General features: G+C 50.2%; 1 protein-coding gene and 1 long non-coding RNA gene across 7 annotated transcripts in view, besides 2 other annotated features; one reads left to right on the top strand and one right to left on the bottom strand.

Annotated features, from left to right (window-relative positions):
* LPO (lactoperoxidase) overlaps nt 1-14480 on the bottom strand; it is a 29935-nt gene that overhangs the window by 14909 nt on the left and 546 nt on the right. For 2 of the 5 annotated variants that reach the window (NM_006151.3, XM_011524808.3), the window contains exons 2-8: nt 10555-10632; nt 9529-9616; nt 5972-6132; nt 4433-4550; nt 3915-4044; nt 2989-3195; nt 1104-1428 (exon numbers count right to left, since the gene is read on the bottom strand). In NM_006151.3, coding sequence (NP_006142.1) covers nt 1104-1428; nt 2989-3195; nt 3915-4044; nt 4433-4550; nt 5972-6132; nt 9529-9616; nt 10555-10630 — 1105 coding nt within the window. In that variant the 5' untranslated portion in view covers nt 10631-10632. Of the gene's footprint in view, nt 1-1103; nt 1429-1795; nt 2368-2988; nt 3196-3914; nt 4045-4432; nt 4551-5971; nt 6133-9528; nt 9617-10554; nt 10633-14480 lie in introns of those variants that run through there. The other 3 variants (NR_027647.2, NM_001160102.2, XM_011524810.3) reach the window with 3 other exon arrangements.
* Nucleotides 4061-4130: an enhancer, noted in NCBI's record as "active region_12462". NCBI's record gives its function as "activates an Ori minimal core promoter by ATAC-STARR-seq in GM12878 lymphoblastoid cells {active_cell/tissue: GM12878}" and the evidence as "EXISTENCE:reporter gene assay evidence [ECO:0000049][PMID:35858748]".
* Nucleotides 4261-4826: an enhancer, noted in NCBI's record as "H3K4me1 hESC enhancer chr17:56326145-56326710 (GRCh37/hg19 assembly coordinates)". NCBI's record gives its function as "activates a minimal SCP1, AML or CMV promoter by ChIP-STARR-seq in naive and primed H9 embryonic stem cells {active_cell/tissue: H9 hESC(naive and primed)}" and the evidence as "EXISTENCE:reporter gene assay evidence [ECO:0000049][PMID:30033119]".
* Nucleotides 4526-11932, top strand: LOC124904038 (uncharacterized). 2 transcript variants are annotated; one of them, XR_007065862.1, is made up of 3 exons: nt 4526-4668; nt 8318-8441; nt 9095-11932. It is a non-coding gene; the product is annotated as an uncharacterized LOC124904038 (long non-coding RNA). The 2 variants fall into 2 exon arrangements; XR_007065861.1 differs by having other exon boundaries at nt 4526-4716; nt 9095-9372.

The raw sequence follows: 14480 nt of genomic DNA, 5'->3' as shown, positions 1-14480 counted from the left end.
TCTAGAAGCCGGAGACAGAGAGGACCAGGAGGGCACCTGGAATGAACAGAATTAGCAGGGCTTTGGTCGTGCACAGGCTGAATGGAATGGGGATTTTGTCCCCAGGTTATAAAAAGCTTTAAAAATATACATTCCTCTTCATCTAGAACTTCCTCTTCTGGGAAATTAGCTTAATAAATGTATTAAAAATGAGAACAAAGATTTATCAATGAAGATGTTCATTACCTAAACAACAGCAACAAAACACAGGAAAACTTGAAATAACTAAATTCCCCCAAGTAGGATTGAGAAAATAAATGATGGTAATATGTGTCATGAAATACCAGGCAGCCATTAAAAATCACGTCATAGAAGAACAGTTAATGGCATGGAGTAAATTAAGTGAAGACATCAGGTTTTGGAGCATTATTTATAGTAAGACCCGATTATGTAAAACAATGTAGAACTGTATCTGTGATAGAAAAAATACTGGAAAATAAGCATGAAAATGTTAACGATGATTATTGGTGGGTAGTGGGATTGTGTGAATTTTCTTTTTCTTTTCTTTTCTTTCTTTCTTTCTTTTTTTTTTTTTTTTTTTTTTTTTTGAGATGGAGTCTTGCTTTGTTGCCCAGGCTGGAGTGCAGTGGCGTGATCTCGGCTCACTGCAACCTCCGCCTCCTGGGTTCAGGTGATTCTTCTACCTCAGCCTCCAGAGTAGCTGGGACTACAGGGGTGTGCCACCACGCCCGGCTAATTTTTTGTGTTTTTAGAAGAGACGGGGTTTCACCATGTTAGCCAGGATGGTCTCGATCTCGTGACCTCATGATCTGCCTGCCTCGGCCTCCCAAAGTGCTGGGATTACAGGCGTGAGCCACCAAGCCTGGCACTTTCTTTTTATTTTCTTTGTTACTTTTCTGGACTTCCTGATTTTGTTTTACAGTGAACATATGTTCTGGAATTCTTTATTCATCTGGGCCCTTCTGCTAGTCCTGGACCACTGCTAGGGACAGCAATGGCTCAGTGTGCATTTTTCCAGAAAGATGACAAGAAGGGGGCAGTGGTAAAGCTTCCCTGGATAATCCCCTTGTCCTTGGGCCCTTCTGTTCCCAGGCTAGACTCACCTGCCAGGAAGCAGGGCACACGGGCAGTGGTGTTGATGAACTCACAGGGGCTTGGCTTCTTGCTGTCATAGGGCAGGTAGGGTAGTCCATGGTCTGAGACCTCCTGGTTGACAGCCATGAGGCCCAGGGGGCTGCTGAGGTTGCGGAGGCGGCTGGCCAGGCTTGGCTCGGAGCTGTACACAAAGCTGGCATCCAGGAAGGAGGTCAGAGCGTTGATCTGCTCTCGGGCCAGGGACTTGTAGGGTGGAGTGGGGCAGACGAACCCAGCTCGGAAGAAAGGCATGCATTTCCCTTGAGTCCCCGCCTTGGGGTCATTGGGTGGGAACTGCAGAGAGAGTGGGCATAAGTGACTGGGCAGGGGTGGAACAGCTGGGTCCTGGCAACCTCTCCCCAGGGCAAGTCTGGATGCAAAGATGCTGATGGCACCCTCCTAGGACCCTGGTACCAGACACTGACCCCAGACACTTCTTGCTGACATTACACACCCTGGGCTCATAATATCCTGAAGTTCATTACATCCTGTTGTGTGAAAGAACTGAGGGTAATCATTCAGTCCTCACAGTGAGGGCTCCAAATTTCTGGTGAGGAGGGAGTATTGAGCTCCCTGGACAGGAAAGCAGGACACGAGGTGGGAACAGGTTTGTTAATAATTACTACTAACAACAGCTGCCATGTATTTATTTTGGACTTACCATGTGCCAGGAATTATGCATACTTTAACTCATCTCAGTCCTCAAAAAAACCCTGTAAGGTGGACAATTCAGTTCCATTTTATAGATGAGAAAACTGGGGCTCAGAAAAGTTAAGTAAGTTGCCTAAGAACTTATACACTGGAAGGGAAAGATGTAGGATTCAGATCATTGGCTTCATTCCACAGTTTATGCTCTTTATACCACAGCACATAGCCTCGATTTATTCTTTGAGTGAAGAAATGACTCTCCAACTGTAATACCCATGAATAATAAGAAAAGATGCATTGCTGCAAGCTCCTCTCCCTTCCGGATGGAAATCCCTACAAATCCCTGCTGCTCACTCGGATTCATCCAGGTTTCAAGTCCTTCTGAGTGGAGTTGAAGTCATCCTCCACGATGATGTACAGCAGTATAAACTTTATCATGTATAAAATGAATCTCTGTTGATCTTGGTAAAAATGTAGAATCTATTTCCTAACATCTTGGGTGAGACTTGAGATTTTGCATTTTTTTTTTCTTTTTCTTTTTTCTTTTTTGAGTTGGAATCTTGCTCTGTTGCCCAGGCTGGAGTGCAGTGGCGTGATCTCGGCTCACTGCAACCTCCGCCTCCCAGGTTCAAGCGGTTCTCCTGCCTCAACCTCCTGAGTAGCTGGGACCACATGCATGTGCCACCTCGCCAGGCTAATTTTTGTATTTTTAGTAGAGACGGGGTTTCACCATGTTGGCCAGGCTGGTCTCAAACTCTTGACCTCAGGTGATCTGTCCACCTCAGCCTCCCCAAGTGCTGGGATTATAGGCATGAGCCGCCTCGCCCAACTGAGATTTTACATTTCTAATAAGCAGGTTTTACCAATGCTGCTGGGTCGGGAATGTAGACAACCTTCTCCAGTGTTCCCATTCTGCTATCAGTAGTTTACTTGTCCAATTCCCACACTGGCCCTTTGTTCTTGAGAGCAGGAGCGGTGTCCTGTTCACTTTGGAATCCTCAGCGCTTAGTGCACTGCCTGGTATGGGGTGGTCAATGTCTATTTACTGAATAAACGGATGAGTGAACGAATGGACACGTGAGGCATGGGAAACTACCAAATCAGTATCCCAGATCTATCCAGAGATCCTAGCTGATGAGCTGGGAATGTCTGCTACATCAGGGTGGGCAAGGGGCTAGTCAGAGATGCCTAGCTGCAGGGCCGTACCATGATGGGGAAGCAGTTGTCTCCCTGGATACAGTACTCATCACACTGGGCTTTGGAGTACTCGCTACTCCCCAGCTCGGTGTCAGGGGCAAAGTCCAGGTCATGATCCACAATCTGACCCCACTGCATGAAGAGCAGGGACCTGTTTTGGTCCAGAACACCCTCCTCATTCAGATAGCCAACAATCTTGTTAGATACCTCCCGGGCCTACAGATGGAGAGAGAAGGGGAGGGCAGATTAGAGGAAAAAGTGCTTTGAGGATTCAGATGCAACTACAGCTTATTAACTACCTACCATGTTACAAGTGCACTTAATCCCTACAAGGAGTTTGTGAGGTGGGTGGCATTAGCCTATTCTGTAGAGGGGGAGATTGAATCCTGGACAGGTGAAGTCAGTTCTCCAAGGTCCTGCCGCTACAAAGGGACAGGGATGGGATTGAACCCAGATCCGTATGACTTGATGATTTGCCAAGCCGGTGCCCTTTCCACTAAGAGAGGGAAAACAAAGACAGGCTGCCTCTGAAATGCGAGCTACGGAGGTGCCAGGTGTCCAGGAATAGGAGAGGGGCTCTGGGTAGGGGCTGCCAGCTCGATAAGGCCAACAAATAGGACCTCCAGGCAAACAACAGCTGATGCACTCCAGGGGCGGGGGCTGGGGTAAGTGCGAGCGGGATGGGGCAGGGAGGCCATCTGCCCGGGAGACCCCAGGGTATCTGGCCTGCGGCGGCCAGAACGTGACCGCCACGTGGCCGGGCTCCGGGCTCCGAGCTCTGCTGCCCTCTAGCGGAAGGTGGGGGTCTGTGCAGATCTCCATCGCGCACCCCTGCTGCCCCCACCGATCCCTCCTCCTCCTTTCACTGCGTGTTTGGGTAGTGCATCCCGTCCCCTCTGGCTCCCATCCTTCACCCCGGCCCGGCCTGCCCTCACCAGCGGGAGAGGGAAGCCGTTGCGCGTCTTCCCCGGCGTCCAGCCGAAGGGCAGGGAGAGCCCGTCCTCGTACTCCGCGGGCAGCCAGCGCGCCAGAGCCCTGTTGGCGGCGCCCAGCGCAGGCTTCCTCCTGAAACCAGCACGATCCTCGCTGAGCTTCGGCAGGCCGGCTCCGGGGCTCCAAAGCCCAGGACCCCATGGGGGAAGGAGCCTCTGCTCGAGGCGGAGGGGACGCAGAGAAGGGGGCCTCTCAAATTTGGGGTCTCTGAACTGCGCCCACCCCCTGAAGGCGCGGGGCTCCCCCGCCCCGGGGAAAGGTGCCGCTTCCAGAGACACACAGTGGGCTGGAGGGAGAGGGCTGGAGACGCGCGATCTTGAGAAGGTGGGGAAGGTGGGAACGCCAGCCCAGGTGGGCAAGGCAGTGGCAGATCTGCCTAGAGTGCCCAAGGGACAAAGGCCTTGGCAGGGCGGGGCGGAGTGGCTGGAATGGTCGGCCCCCACACCCCAAGCCCCGCCACCTGTTATTGCAGTCTCCCGTAATGGTGCGGTAAGGGCTGCACGGGTCGCATCTCACCACGGGAGCAGGAGCACCACAGCCCACCTCCAGAGACAGTGAAGTCAAGTCCAGGCTGGGATCTGAAACAGAAGGGACCCCAAAGGGACTGAGTTCTTTCTCCATTCACAGGCACCCGTGGGAGGCAGGAAATGGAGACCAGAGGTGAACCTGCATGTTTTGGAATGCATTCCATTCTAAGTAAGCGTTTCTCAAGTGGTTTCTCAATTAATCTGACAGCACATTAAGGTAATACATTTTATTCCCATTTTACAGGGAAGAAAATGAGAACACAATGTTCAAGAGACTTGCCCAAGGCCACACAGAGTAACTGGGAATGTCCCCAGAATTGCTAGTAATTCCTGGTATACCAGGTCCAGATTCATTTGAATTGACAGATCTTTCTTTTAGAATGGAAATACCCCGGGAGGTTAAGCATATGTTAGTATGAGTTAGTGTGATAAGACTGCTTTCTTCTAAAGCTTCGTTCACATCTGAAGTACCAAGCAAGCAGGGACATAGCTAGGATAGAGGTTGGGAAGGGACAGGTAATTTTTCAGTGAGGGGCAAGGGTTGTGGGAGGAGTGACAGAGTAGGGGGGCTTTAGGCATCAGAGTGTTCAGTGTGGGCACAGAGTGGAGAGAGATGCCCACTTCTGAACGCATACCCTCATCCACCCTGGCGTCTGCAAGGGCAGGGAGGTGAGGGAATCTGGCTCATGGGGGCTTCTTCCGGGGGGCCATCTCTGAAAGGTGGCAGGATTTCAGCTCTCCGAACCTTTTGTATTTCAGAGGTCAAAGTGCTTCCTACTTCTTACCTTGTCCCAGTTTCCTTCTTTTGGAGCTTTGGAATTTGCCCAACTCCTGGGCCAGGTATCCCCCCTCACTTGATGTTTTCCCAGGGAGAACCTGCAGCCTTTTCCTCCTGTCAGGACCAAACCCCTTCCTCATGACCCTCTGTGGGCTGTGGCATTTGGTTGGGGGTGAGAGTGGAGGGGATGGAGGAGGCCATGACCAAGCCATCAGTTAAGTTCACTTACTGATAGCTCCATCTTACCCAGAACACGATGGAAATCTTAGCTCCTGTGACATTATCCCAAGTAAATCCCCCTGACACATGTGGCTTAAATGTCTCTTCTACTAGAGGAAGTGGTGACACTGTGGCTTAGGACAAGGAACCCATGTTTATTGACTTTAGCACTTCCTTTGGGCAGAGGCCTTACAGACGGTGTTATACAAAGAGCACCAATGTCCCCTCACTTGGAGTCGGCCATGTGAGCTTGCTAGGTCTCAGTTTCTTCCTCTGCAAAAACAGCATTGCCCTAGCTGTCCTCTAAGACCTTCCTTGCTCTGCCAGTCTCGTCTACGGGTCTAAGAAGGGAGAGACAGGAGTGTTCCTCTGAGTAGATAGCTCTCAACAGGAAGTGCAGCTTTGGGTGGCCTCTGCTTTCTCCTGTGGGGAGATGACCCCTTCCTGCCACAGAGGGCTGGTGGGTTTTCTGTACCTGTGACATTGGTCAAGGATGCCTTCTGCCTCAGTCTCTTTAAAGACTCCTCCCACACCTGTCCATTGCGGATGGCTGTGCGCGTCCGGCCTTTGGCATGCTTGAGGTATTCTGAGAGCTGTCGGCTGGTGGGAGTCTCAGAGCTCATGGCGGTCTTCAGCCTACAGTGGAGGGAGATGGGGATCATGGCCTGGACCCTGTAGGAAGGGGGCTGGGGGCCGCTGGAGGGGTGGGAGGGGTGTGTGTACAACATGGCCTCATAACCCAGCTGCTGCACTGTCCAATACAGTAGCCACTAACCACATGTGGCTATTTAAATTGAAACTCATTAAAATTAAAATTAAAAATTCAGTTCCTCAGCAGCACTAGGCACACCTCAAGTGCTCAATAGCCAGGTGTGGTTAGTGATGACTGTGTTGGACAGTGCAGATATAGAACATTTCATCATCCTAGAAAGTTATCTTGGACACTGCTAGCCTAAAGTGGGCTTAGAGCTGGACAGACACAGGGGTGGATCTGGGTTCCACCAGGATTGGTTTAATTATATGACCTCTGAGTGACTTCCCCTCATTTATGAACTGGAAATCACAATTTCCTCCCATCAGAGACTTCTGTATGGACTTTGGGATAGACTGACTGGGATTGGCTCCTGACTGCCACTTTCTAGTTGTGTGCCCTTGAGGCAAATTACTTAAGCTCTTTGTACTCAGTTTCCTTATTGGTATAATGAAAATAATGATGGTAATCTTAGGTTGAACCATGTTGTTTCATCATTTTTGACCTTGAAAACAGCTGTTTTCTACAGTTCGATTCAGTACTTCCTAGGATTTTGGGGAGGAATGAATGTAGGGCCCCCAGAGCTGCATCTGCACAGAGCACACACTCACGTGTGTGAGCATCACTGTCTCCATCAGCCGGGTCCCAGAGGGGCTGCTGCAAGGTATTTTAGAGTCCCCACCTCACACCGTGAACAAAGGCAGGCAGGCCGCGCTGGGCCTCCCTGGGCTTAGCCTGTAAGGTCCCATCCAAGGTTCCAGATGTTCCTTCCTTTCCCGCCCGGCCCTGGGCTCTGCATGCTTCCTCTGCCTGAACACAGATTCACCAGGGACTCACCTCCTGCTCTGCCCTGGGGCTGGGCTCTGTTGGGGGTAGGCAGGGTCTTGGAAGGACCTCTTTGCCATCTCCACAGTCTCCACCGCGGTCCTAGCCATCATCCTCTCCCATCTAGACAGCTCTTACTTCCACTGCTGTCCTCTTCCCATTCGTTCTCCACAGGGCTGCTGGAGTGATCTTTTTAGCATAAAAATCAGACCATGCCACCGCTGATTCAAATGTTCTAATGGCTTACCCTGGGGCGACACACCTCTCTGCTCTCACCTTATGCGTGATCCTCCTTGCCTCCTGCCTCCACTGGCCTTCCTTTTCCTGAGCACCCACGGTCTTTCCTGCCTCAGACCCTATGCTGTTGCAGTGCCTGGAATGCCACCCCCATGCCCTCTGCCTGGGTGGCTCCTTCCTATTCTCCAACAGGCTTCCCTGATCCCTGTGCCTAGAGTGGCATCCCTTGCCCTGTTTATTTCCTTCATTTTCCTTATCATAAATTGTGAGTCACTGCACTGTGTATGTACTTGGGTAACAGAATGTTTAAATGTGACTCGTTCTGTCTCTGTGAGGCCCCTGAGTCCAAGGACTAACCAGCAGGGAAGGGCTCCTCCACATTTCAAAGCAGGGCGCTGGTTGGCCTGTGCAGGACTTGCAAAGGAGGTGTATGAACACCGGTTTTGTGGCTTTTATGCTGTCCCCCATCTTGAGGCTATAAAGGGATTGAATTTGAGGAGCGAGAGAGAATTTTCCTTTGGAGACATTTGCAGAAATACTGGGCACGTCCCTCCCAACACCATGGGGCTCCTCCTTTGCTAGTTTAATTCTAGGGAGAAAGGTCTTAGGAGGAGGGCTTAACTGTGTGTCCTGGAGTCATGGCTGGGGTTTGACACCTGCCTGAAGAGCAGTGTCCTGAGAGCACGGAGAGAGGGGCGGAATCTGGAATCTGCACCGCCTCAACAGTAGGGCGAAGCTGCTAGTCTTCTGGAGGCTGCTTAAAAGGGACCTGCCCCAAGACAGGGTGGGGAGGGGTGAAGGAGTGGGCCCGATGCTCCCAGGCAGAGAGGGTTAGAGCTGGGAGCCACTGGCCAGAGAATTTTCCAGATCACAGAGTTGGCAGCAGAATCTCTCTCTGAAACCAGGAAAGCACCCAAGGGGAGAGAGAGAGAGAGAGCTTCCGGCCCCTTGAGGACTGAACTGTTCAGGGGATGTAGACTCACCACCCCTTTTTCCCTCCTCCTTCAGCTTAACCCCCAAGGAGCAGAAACCCAAGCTGGGAAGGAGGAGCCCCAGAAAGAGGGAGAAGGAGACTGCACTCTCTTCTCCCGCCAGAGGCCTCAAGCAGTTCTGAGCTGAAGGAATAGAGCAGGTCTGGCTTTATCTTCTTATGCTGACACTTTAATTCCTGAGATAATCCTGGTCTGGGGACTAGAAGCGTCCAGAGCGTGTTTTATCATCTAAGTCACCAAAAAAGTTATCTGACGGCTTGAAAGTTCATTCAAGGGCTGAGGAGGAGTGAGTGGAAGCCCAGGTCCAGTGTAAAGGGACAGCGAGAGGAAAGAATAAGGTTACTTTTTTTCTCAATGTCTGCCCTCTCCCTAGAGTGTGCGTTTCCTGAGGGAAGGCGCCCACGTTGCCCCTGTACAGGATCGGAGGGCAGTTGACTCTACTGGTGCCCTGTGGGCCCTGGGCTCTTCCCCTTGCTGCCATGGGTGCATCTGCTACAGGCTCACTCCAGTAACCTTGTTGGGCGCCTGCTTCTGAGCCACTGGAGTGGCCTGGCTGGGGGTGCCCGGGAATTCCACAGGTGTGCCACAACACCTCTCAGCCACCTGCAAGCCTGCAGCCATGTCTGACTGATGTGGGCAGATGAGGGCTCTGCTCCCTCGCTCCAAGATGGGACAGGCTCTGAGGAGCAACTTCTGCTCCAGGTCTCCCTGTGGGGTCAGGCTGAGGATAGACTTGAAGCCACTTTATTTGTCTAACCTCCCCCTTCACTTCTGCTTCTTCACCCCATCACAGCTTCCTTGTGAGCATTCCCCTAATATGTCACCTGCACCTGAATGCAGGGCTCGGATTCGGCTTCTGGTGGACCTGGCTGAATCAGTCAATATCAGCTGGATGAATGAAGAACTTTTACTGAGAGGCTTTCTGGGACTCTGGAATGCATGGCCCAAGGAAACATTGGGCCACGTGGAAGAAAGTCCTTCTAGGGTTAGATTAGATGTCCTCTTTCAGGTGATGTACAGGCTGAGGACTTTAGGAATTGTGGGCTATTGCTCCTACTTGTCATGTACTTGGAGGGCTAGGAGGATGGAAGGGTAAGTTTTATCATTGTTCACCTCATTGGCTCATCCGGGCTGGCCTAGATGTGCTTGTCATGAACAGGAAGCCTGTGAAGGGAAGTGTGTGTGTGTGTGTGTGTGTGTGTGTGTGTGTGTGTGTGTCTCACGTACCTGGTTCGGGAGTCCAGGAAGGCCTTGTTGACTTGGACCTTGGCCTGACTCACAGTATCGGAGATGGCAGAGGTTCTGGTAGTCTGCGCTTGGGGTTGGAGTGGGGAGCAGGAAGTAGGGTGTCAGACACCACTCCTTTGCGATGTCTTCTGCTTTTGTCTCCCTCTTTCTCGGCCATTACCCCCACCCCTCAAATCTGGGTAGGCAGGAGATCAAGATTAGGAAAGTTTCATAAGAGTCCTTAAGGGGAAAAAGCACAGAATGGGAAGAATACTCTTGGATCTTCAACAAGATGTCAAAATTGCTCTTTGAGATCTCACTAGAATGCCCAGAGATGGGATGAAGAGGGAGTGTGGCCACTCAGGGTGGCTTGGGCTACTGGACTGTGGGGATTTCTCTGGTTCCTGGTGAGATGGTCTTGTGGACTATCTCAAGTTCATCAAAGAGGACCCACTGATCACCAGGACCCTGACGTACAGAAGGGGATGGCATGAGAGTAATGGTGGGATTCCCTGTTCCCTCTTGTATTGGGGTCTGGAGCATGGAGGACAGGATCTGTTTTCTCAACAAGGAGAGTGTAGTGGGTTAAATAATGGCCCTCCCAAAATTCACATCTGCATGGAACCTCAGAATGTGACCTTATTTGGAAGTAGGGTCTTTGTAGATGTTATGAATTAAAATGAGGTCATACTGCCTTAGCATCGGCCCTAAATCCAATAAATGGTGGTTTTATGAGAAGAGGAGAGGACACCCAGTGAAAAAGGCCACGCAAAGACTGAGGCAGAGATTGGAGTGTTGCAGCTACAAGCCAGGGAACACCAAGGATACCAGGGCCACCAGAAGCTGGAAGAAGAAAGGAAGCATTCTTCCCTAGAGCCTTCAGAGGGAGCACAGCCCTGCCAACACCTTGATTTTGGACTTCTATCCTCCCGTACTGTGAGAGAATACATTTCTGTTGTCTTAGGCCATCCAGTTGGTGTGCTTTGTGACAGCAGCCCCAGAAAACCCGTAAAGGGAGACACTCACCTCTTGTGGTAGATGCTGCAGCCTGAAGCAAGATGAGGGAAGCCAGGAGGGCTGGGAGATGGAGAAGGACCCTCATCACTGAAACGAGATGCAGGATCACACTGTGAGCCTCTCTAGAGACCAAGTGGGAGGGTTTGAACCACAGAAAGCAGAGAAAGCCAAAGGAGCACCAGACACCCTAATATTGGAACAGGAAAGGAGAAACCACATTAACGAATGAAGCATCTACCATACACACAGGCCTGTGCTAGGTACTGGGAGAGATGGAAAGAGGAGAAGACATGGTGGAAGGGAAAGAACTCAGGCTTCAGGATCTAAGGCCCTGAGTTATCATTCTGCATTTGCTCCAATAGCTCTGTGACCTTGGGCAGGTTACTTAACATCTCTGGGGTCCTGGCTTGCTATGGGAGGAGGTGGGACCAAGTGATCCAGAATGTTCAATTCTGCCCTGACAGCCTGTGGTCGGGAGATGCTGTACCTGTCTTGTCACAGGTGTGAGAAACGCTGTTACCAAGGCTGGAGCCTGCCTTTGAGTTCCCCTCCCTCCTTCCCTGCAGGATGCATTGCTCCCTGCAAGCCAGTTTCCTCTGGCCCAGCCCCAGGAGAGAATGCCTGAGAGGCAGACACTCAGCGCCTCCCTTCGGAAACCTGGCAGGGGCTTCCCCTTCCCTCAAAGTGCCAACTTGATGGCAATACTGAAAGAAAGTTATGACAAAGCTCAGAGCTCCCCTGAGCCCACAGCTGTGCCCCAGGCTGCCTGGAAAGATTCCAGCTCATGGATTAACCTCTTTGCCATGAGCTTTAACTCTGAATGCAAATCTTTAGACTGAAATTTGTGAAGCTTTGTTTTCTGATGAGGGTCTTCACTGGGCTTAGTGGAGCAGACCCCATACATCTTCTGAGGAGATTCTGGCTCCAGCCCGGGGTGGCAGCCACAGCGTGCAGATGGAATGATTGTGTGTTTAGACCATGGTCCTGAGAGGCTCCTCAGCTTTCACAAGGGCGCCTGTGCTCTCCCTGCAGCACGGCGTTCACTGGTGGAATCCAGAAGCACACTAAGGAGAGCAGCCTCAGGTTGCCCCCCAGCCATGTCTCCCCAGGGCTCAGCTCCCAGAGAGAAATCATAGTTCTGGAGCTTTGCCTGACAGACTTCCCCGTATGTCTTGCAGACCCTCTCCAAATCATCTCCCTTTGGAATAGGCCAGACCAGGAGACCTCTGTATATGGATCAGGTCATTTCAGCCTCCTTCACCCCTGCCTGCCTCCAATTTTTCCCTCTGCCCTTTCGTGGTCCCCCTAATAATTTGTATCTTGTTGTACTTTTTGCCAGCTAACTCTAGAGAAGGGGCAAGGCATGAATAAATACCTCTCTGGCCAAGATTCTCTCTGTTACTTCCCCCCACCCCAAGATGAGTTCTCAAACAGCTTGACCTCTCAGTGGGCTCTTGTCCTTATAGTTGTATGGCCCCAAGGAGGAAGAGATTCTGTGACCTCCTATCCCTCTGTCACCATATTTTGCAACTTCAGGGGACCCATTGCAGGGTTCATTGAGTTAGCAGAAATCTGCCCTTCAGACAAACAGAGATGATGGTTTTGGAGGAAAAGGTATCATTGACTTTAAAAAACAAACTATGGTAAAAAACATGGCCAGGTGTGGTGGCTCATGCCTGTAATCCCAGAATTTTGGGAGGCTGAGGCAGGCGGATCACTTGAGGTCAGGGGTTGGAGACCAGCCTGGTCAATGTGGTAAAACCCTGTCTCTACTAGAAATACAAGAATTAGCCAGGCGTGGTGGCAGACACCGGCAATTCCAGCTACTCGGGAGACTGAGGCAGGAGAATCCCTTGAACCTGGGAGGTGGAGGCTGCAGTGAGCCAAGATTGCGCCACTGCACTCCAGCCTGGCTCAAAAAAAAAAAAAAAAAAAAAAAGAAAAAAGAAAAGAAAAGAACAACAACAACAAAAATCCACATAGCATAAAATTTAGCATCCTAGTCATTTAAACTCTACAGTACTGTAATGTTAGGTATATTCACATGTTGCACAATGGATCTCTAGAACATTTTCATCCTGTAAAAACTGAAACCCTATACCCATTGAACACCAACTCCCTATTTCCCCTTCCCCCTAGCTCCTGGCAACCACCATATCACTGATTTTTTTAAAGAGGGCTGTGGGCACAAACATTCATTATATTGTTCTTTGAATGACTAATGCGTTTCCTAATAAATGACAAACACAAAGTAAAAAATTAGTCCATTTTTTAAAAAGACATCATCTGAGACAGCCTGAGGAAGACAAAATCATAGAAGAAGACATGAAAGTTGAGAAATTTGAACAGGAAACAATACTTAAATATTCAATTCTCCTCTCCTCTTCTTTAGGACCCCCTTCATGCTCTCCTCACTGGAAAGTGGAGGAGGGGGACTTCAAGGCCAGAGAGAAATTATTTTCCCATGTCTTGGGCAATGTTCCTGGTGGGTGTGAGGGACGGGTATGAACAAAAATCAGAGCCAGGTGAATACAAGGTCATGTCACTGAAAAGGGGGTGTGCAGAAAGATTCTAGAGGGACACTGTCTTCAGCCAGAACCACACAGGGCAAGAGGGCCTGGGGCTTTAGAGTGTAAGAGGCCAACAAGAGGCTCCTGTGATGTGTAGATATTTATCCATATTCTTATCAACATGCTGAGTGCAGAAACCATTTCCCAAGCCCTTTGATTTGCAGCAAAGCCTGGAGCCTTCCCTGGGACATGAAGCACTATCTGGAGACAGAGCCACAGCCTTTGCCCCTCAAATGCCAGGCTGGTCCACAATCCCATGCCTCTACTCATGCTCTTCCCTATACAATACCCTCTCTGGCTAATAAACTCCTATTCATTCTTCAAAACCCAGACCAAATTTCACCTCCTCTGTGAAGTTTACCAGTTTTCTCCAGGAAAAGTTAGATCGTTCCTTTTTCTGTCCTCCCACAGTATTTCATCCATATCTCATATTACTGTCTTCACATCTGTTTCCCCTATCAGACCATGAACTCCTCAAGGGCTCCATCTTATTTATTTGTTTTCCCAGGACCTAAGCATGTCAATACATAATAGGTGTTGGGTGCATGCTGAATGAATAAAACTCCTAGAGCAGAGAAATTCAGCATCTGGAGGTTGCAGAGGGAGAGGGCAGAGATAGTCCCTCGGCAAGCCTCTCACACTGTAATGTGCCTACTATCACCTAGGGATTTTGGTAAATGCAGATTCTGACTCAGAAGGTCATAGAAGGGGCCTGAAAGTCTGCATTTCCAGTAAGCTCCAGGTGATGATGATGTTGCTGGTCTGCAGACCACACTCTGAGTACCAAGGCCTTCCAGACTTTGGTTCTCAATGTCGCTGAGCAGTCACCAAGGAGATAGGGGGAAGGCCTGAGAAGGGATGAAGTCAGTGAGATTCTCTTCCATGATTGTAAAGAGCCCTGTGGAGGGTGGTGGAGTGAGCCAATAGGAAAGCCATAATTCTTGCCCCATCACCTGCAGGAACACTCTCTTGATCTTTTGAGTGACTCCAAGATCAGGATGAGAATGAAGAGATAGCTCTTATCAAGCCCTCTAGAGCGGAAATAATCTACTTCAACTGAAAGATTTGAGGCACACAATTGCATAAAAAACAAATATAATTTAACCACCCCATTCCCCCAAAATGAAGCCTGCCTACTACCGCTGCATACAGGTCACACACCTGCTTGAGAGCCAGGTGTCCACAGGGCACTTAAGACAGCTAGGACTAGACATTGAGGGCAAACTAGATGGTCGGATCTGCTGCAGATGGCAGGCATGAGATGCTGGAAATGAGATGAAGACCTGACAGCTCCGGCTTAGGGAACCCCTTAAAACACTGCAAAATCTCCACTATAGTGGAGAGGCCAGATTTCATCACACTGTC

This window comes from Homo sapiens, chromosome 17 (genome assembly GCF_000001405.40).
Source record: "Homo sapiens chromosome 17, GRCh38.p14 Primary Assembly".
NCBI lineage: Eukaryota > Metazoa > Chordata > Mammalia > Primates > Hominidae > Homo > Homo sapiens.
The sequence above is the reverse complement of the archived record's forward strand: the minus strand, read 5'-3'. Positions and strand labels throughout refer to the sequence as shown.